Source organism: Homo sapiens, chromosome 8, assembly GCF_000001405.40.
Source record: "Homo sapiens chromosome 8, GRCh38.p14 Primary Assembly".
In the NCBI taxonomy this organism is placed as follows: domain Eukaryota; kingdom Metazoa; phylum Chordata; class Mammalia; order Primates; family Hominidae; genus Homo; species Homo sapiens.
The window spans coordinates 80,372,171-80,378,170 of record NC_000008.11 but is presented as its reverse complement, the minus strand read 5'-3'; the positions used below and the strand labels follow the sequence as shown (position 1 = coordinate 80,378,170).

The window sequence follows — 6,000 nt, the reverse complement described above, 5'->3', positions numbered from 1 at the left end:
ACTATATGGTGAATAAACGACTATATGGTAAATAAATGAATGAGTCAGTAAGTCCTGCCCAAATCAGAAGGGAAGAGGCCGAGACAGTGTGATGACTGTCTCAGGGCAGGCACCTGAGAAAGTCCCCATGTGGGTGGTCTGTAATAGCCAAGGCCTTCCTCAGGTAGCAGGAGGAGAAAGAATTCACCTTTAGAAGAGGAAAAACTTCCATGGTGAGTGAGAACAATTTTAGTGGTTTCTTCTCACACAATGTAATTAGGTGAAAAGTGCTTGCAGCTTTTAGTAGTTTAGGTTCAATATTGGGTTATAATTTGATTGTTCAGAAAAGAGTTTCTCTTCCTTTTCTTTGTCTTTTTTTTTTTTTTCTTACCCTCATTTGAATTTGAGAGGGTACCAGCGTGGGAGGTTTTCACTCTGCCTTTAACTACTTGATTTCTGCTGATGAAGAGGTTACTTCAGTTTGTTTGGCTTCTTGATCTATGATGTTATTCATCTGTAGTTTTGCTTCTAGTCAAAATGGAAAGCAACTGTAGCTTGTCATCCTTTAATGCCGGGAGCTGACAGGAAGCTGGGTTTTATTTGCTTTCCTCTTTGAAGTGATACAGCTGAGTGAGCAGATGTAAGAGTTTCATTTTAACCAGAAATTTTGCTTAACCTCCTAGAAACAGCTACCTCATTGAGGACCTGTGGCCCAGTGGACTTGTCCTCTGCAGAATTATCAAAGGAAAAGGTGGAACAGTAATGAGGGATTCCAGAAAATTTTGGAAGAAACACAACATACCTCCAGAAATTCAACTTGGTCCCATACATATAAAACACAACAGGCCTAACCAAAACATGCCCTGTGAGACATATGGGGCCTGTGGGCTCCCTCATATCTTTCATTCTAATTTAGATTCTCTACAACTATAAATGAAAGAGCCAACACTAGCAAAAATAAAGTACCTTCTCGGAGACTTTGTGAAGACTGTTGCAGGTGACATCATGTCCATCAAAGGCCAGAAACCCAACATTTATGACAACCACGTGGGAGACAGTGACCAAGCAGGATAGAGGGGGGTGCCACAAAATGAAAAAGGTAGGCCATAGCTTACCGCAATCTGTGTTTTTTATATAAAATCTTCATTTTTAATGCTGACTCAATTTTTTTCTAAGATTCCCGGATTATAACTGAAACTACATCTCTGAAGCCAAAGCCTTTTCATTCTGAAGCCTGGAGTCTAATCCATTCCATAAATAAATGAAATTCTGGGTCTCCTGGTTGATTTTCACATCCTACAGGATACATTTATGAAAACAGTTTTGATATAGGGATTCTAATCTTTTATTCAGATTTCTATAAAACAAGGTCATAAGAAATAAAAGAGATCTCTTGGGATAAAATGATGAGAGAGGAAAAGTGCAAGTTCTCATTTGTGTGCTATGCTAAGCTTAACAACAAAAGGACCGCAAAATTTCTATTGATGATGTTGACATAAAACAATGAATACTAGGAAAGGCAATTTCTTCCTTCATATTAAGCATCTCAGGAGCCTTTCTAAAATGCACACCTATAGCACCATCCCACTTCCTGCTCTTCAATAGCTCCCTAATGCTTTTAGAGCCAAGTTCAGCCTCTTTAGCACAGTGTACCAGGCCCTTTGTGTACTAGCACTGCTGTCCCTGCCCACCTTTCCAGCCTCACCTGTGGTACTCTTATTTATTTTCTCTTATCTAATTGAGTTAATACTCACATATAATAAAATGCACAAATCTTCAGTGTATAATTCAATGAGTTTTTAAATGTGTGACCAACCTTCCAGTGGAGATATAGAACCTCGCATCACCCACAGTTTCCCATGAGTCCCCTTCTAGTTGAGGCCCACTCCACAAACTCTAACTTCCATCTCCATAGATTAGTTTTGCCTGTTCTTGAACTTCATATAGATGAAATCATGCACTGTGCACCCCTTTGTACCTGGCTTTCATGTTATCCTGTGTATCAATAGTTCATTTTTTTAAATTGCTGAATAGTACCATGTCGTATATATGTCACCATTTGTTTAAATATTTAAGCTTGTTTTCATGTTTTGGCTATTACAAATAAAGCTGCTGCCTGCCGGGTGCGGTGGCTCACACCTGTAATCCCAGCACTTTGGGAGGCTGAGGTGGGTGGATCACCTGAAGTCGGGAGTTCAAGACCAGCCTGACCAACATGGAGAAACCCTGTCTCTACTAAAAAAAATACAAAATTAGCCGGGCTTGGTGACATATGCCTGTAATCCCAGCTACTCGGGAGGCTGAGCCAGGAAAATTGCTTGAACCCAGGAGGCAGAGGTTGCGGTGAACCGAGATCGTGCCATTGCACTCCAGCCTGGGCAACAAGAGCAAAACTCCATCTCAAAAAAAATAAAGCTGCTGCCAGTGACATTTCTTATACAAGTCTTTTAGTCCGTATTTGTTTCTATTTCCCTTGGGTAAATACCTAGGAGTTGAATTTCTAGTGTAAAAAATTTGCCAAATAGTTTACTTTGCCAAGTATTTGTACCGTTTTACACCCATGAGCAATGTCTAAGAGTTACAGTTATTCTACAACTTCGCCAGCATTTAGTGTTGTCAGTTTAGTTATTCTTTTTTTTTTTTTTTTTTTTTTTTGAGACAGAGTGTTGCTCTGTCACCCAGGCTGGAGTGCAATGGCACGATCTCGGCTCATTGTAACCTCCACCTCCTGGGATCAAGCGATTCTCCTGCCTCAGCCTCCCTATTAGCTGGGACTACAGGCATGCACCACCACACCTGGGTAGTTTTAGTATTTTTAGTAGAGACGGGGTTTCACCATGTTGACCAGGCTGGTCTCAAACTCCTGACCTCAGGTGATCCACCTGTCTCAGCCTCCCAAAGTGCTGGGATTATAGGCATGAGCCACCGTGCCCAGCTGTCAGCTTAGTTATTCTAATAGGTAAGAAATGAAATCTCCTTGTTTTTTCATTTTTCATCTCCCTGATGACTAATGATGTTGACCATGTTTTTATGTGCTTATTGACCATTTGTGTCTTCTTTTGTGAAGTTCTTATTCAAATCTTGCTCATTTATTTATTGGGTTGCTGATCTTTTTATTATCTGTAATTCTTTATTATGTTCTGGATACAAGAGTGGATAGTTTTTAGTCGGTTGCCTTTTCATTTACTTAATGGTTTATTCCAATAAGCAAGATTTAAAAATTTTAAATTTTGATAATGTTGGGAGGCCAAAGCAGGAGAATTGTTTGAGGCCAGGAGTTTGAGACCAGCATGGGCAACACAGTGAGACCCCCATCTCTACCAAAAAAGAAGTAAAAATACCTGTAATCCTAGCACTTTGGGATGCTCAGGTGGGTGGATTGCTTGAGCCCAGGAGTTTGAGACCAACCTGGGCAACATGGCGAAACCCCGTCTCTTCAGCAAACACAAAAATTAGCCAGTCATGGTGGTGCACACCTATGGTCCCAGCTACTCGGGAGACTGAGGTGGGAGGATCACCTGAACCTGGGGAGGTGGAGACTGCAGTGAGCTGTGATCACACCACTGCACTCCAGTCTGGGTGACAGTGAGACACTGTCCCAAAAAATAAATAAATAAAAATAAATTTTCATAATATTAATCAATTTTTCTTTGATGTTTAATACTTTTTTTGTACCTATCTAAGAAATCTGCCCACCCAAGTTTGTAAAAATATTCTCCTATATTTTCTTCTGGAAACTTTAAAATTTTAGCTTTTATATTTAGGTCTAGGATCCATCTTGAATTATTTTTAGTGCATGGTGTGACATAGGAACCAGGGCCCAATTTTTCCACACATATATTCAGTTACTCCAACACCATTTGTTGAAAAGATTTTTCTTTTCCCATTCAATAGCTTTGGCACATCTATAAAAATCAATTGACTATGTATGTTTGGGTCTATTTCTAGACTCCATTCTGTTCCATTGATCTGCATATCTATCCTTGCCTATGCCAATATCACACTGTCTTAACTACTGTAGCCCTGTATTAAATCTTGAAATACAATTGTGCAAGTCCTCTAACTTAGCATTTCATTTTCAAGATTGTTTTGGTCACTTTACTTCTTTTGCATTTCTACTTAAATTTTCGAGCAAATTTGTCAATTTCTACACTAAATCCTATTGGGATTATGATTGAGATTACGTAGATTCTGTGGATCAGTTTGGGGATAATTGACATTTTTAACCATATTGAGTCATTCAATTCAAAAACAAAGTTTATTTTTTCATTTTAACATCTCTCAGCAATGTTTTGTAGTTTTCAGTATACAGGTCTTGTCCATAGTTTGTTACATTTCTCTTTAAATATTTAATATACTTTAATACCATTTTATAATTTAATGCTTTTATACACTTGATGTTGTTATAAATTACATTAAAAAATTTTCAATTTCCAGTTGTCCAAACTAGTGTATAGAAACACAATTTATTTTTGCATATTGGCCTTATTTCCTGTAAATTCCCTAAAATTATTCCTTAGTTTGAATGGCTTTTGGTAAATTCCTTAGGATAATCTGTGTTTGTGATCATATTATCTATGAATAAAGAGAGTTTTATTTCTTTCTTCTCAATATGTATTTATTTCTTTTTCTTGTATTATTGCAGTTGCTAGGACATAATATTGAATAGAAGTGGTGAAACTGAACGCCCTTGTCTTATTCCTAATCTTAGGCGGAAATAATTCAGTTTTAAAAAATATTAAATATGATAGGAGTTAAGGATGTCCTTTATCAGATTAAGAAAATTCCCTTCTGTTCGTAGTTTGCTGAGAATTTTTACCTTGAATGGATGCTGAATTTTCTATCGTTTTGCTTTTTCCTTTTATTTTTTTTTTTTTCGTTGAGACAGAGTTGCCCAGTCTGGAGTACAGTCGCCCGATCTCTGCTCACTGCAACCTCCGCCTCCTGGGTTCGAGCTATTCTCCTGCCTCAGCCTCCAAAGTAGCTGGGATTACAGGTGCACACCACCATGCCTGGCTAATTTTTGTATTTTTAGTAGAGACGGAGTTTCACCATGTTGGCCAGGCTGGTCTGAAACTCCTGGCCTCAACTGAGCTGCCCACCTTGGCCTCCCAAAGTGCTGGGATTACAGGTGTGAGCCACCGCGCCTGGCCAGTTTTTCTTTCTTATTCTGTTAATATAGTAGACTATATTGACTTTCAAATGCAATTTTAATCTTAAATTTCTGTAGCAAGCCCTACTTGGTCATAATGTCTTATCTTTTTTTATATATTTCAAGATTAGATTTCCTACTATTTTGTTAAGAATTTTTACATCCAGGTTCACAGGGACTATAGGTTTGTCACTTTCTTTTCTTGTAAATTCCATGGCTTTGCAGAGTAATGTTGACCTCATAAATTGAGTTGGTAAATGATTCCTCAACCACTATTTTTCTGAGAGTTTGTGTGAACTGAGATAATTTTTCCCAAAATGATTGATAAAATTAACCAGAAGCCACTGGGGCCTTGAGTTTGTTTTGCTTCTTTAAATTTTTATTGCAATGAAATTCATGTGGGGAGGTTTTTAATAATAAATTACATTTCTTTGATAAATATATATATTTTTTATTTTATTATTATTATTTTTTTGAGATGGAGTCTTGCTCTGTTGCCCAGGCTGGAGTGCAGTGGCGCGATCTCGGCTCACTGCAGCTCCACCTCCTGGGTTCACGCCATCCTCCTGCCTCAGCATCCCGAGTAGCTGGGACTACAGCTGCCCGCCACCACGCCCGGCTAATTTTTTGTATTTTTAGTAGAGACAGGGTTTCACCGCATTAGCCAGGATGGTCTCCATCTCCTGACCTTGCGATCTGCCCGCCTTGGCCTCCCAAAGTGCTGGGATTACAGGCGTGAGCCACTGCACCCTTCCAAATATAGAGGTATTCTTATTTTTTTCATTTCTCCTGTGTCAGACTTCCTAAATTGTGTTTTTCAATGAATGTGTCCTTTCATCTAAACTGTTGATTTATTGGAACTGCAGTGA

At 38.6% G+C, this 6,000-nt stretch overlaps 3 annotated features.

Moving 5' to 3' along the window:
* Positions 268 to 317: an enhancer, noted in NCBI's record as "active region_27567". NCBI's record gives its function as "activates an Ori minimal core promoter by ATAC-STARR-seq in GM12878 lymphoblastoid cells {active_cell/tissue: GM12878}" and the evidence as "EXISTENCE:reporter gene assay evidence [ECO:0000049][PMID:35858748]".
* Positions 328 to 487: an enhancer, noted in NCBI's record as "active region_27566". NCBI's record gives its function as "activates an Ori minimal core promoter by ATAC-STARR-seq in GM12878 lymphoblastoid cells {active_cell/tissue: GM12878}" and the evidence as "EXISTENCE:reporter gene assay evidence [ECO:0000049][PMID:35858748]".
* Positions 608 to 907: an enhancer, noted in NCBI's record as "active region_27565". NCBI's record gives its function as "activates an Ori minimal core promoter by ATAC-STARR-seq in GM12878 lymphoblastoid cells {active_cell/tissue: GM12878}" and the evidence as "EXISTENCE:reporter gene assay evidence [ECO:0000049][PMID:35858748]".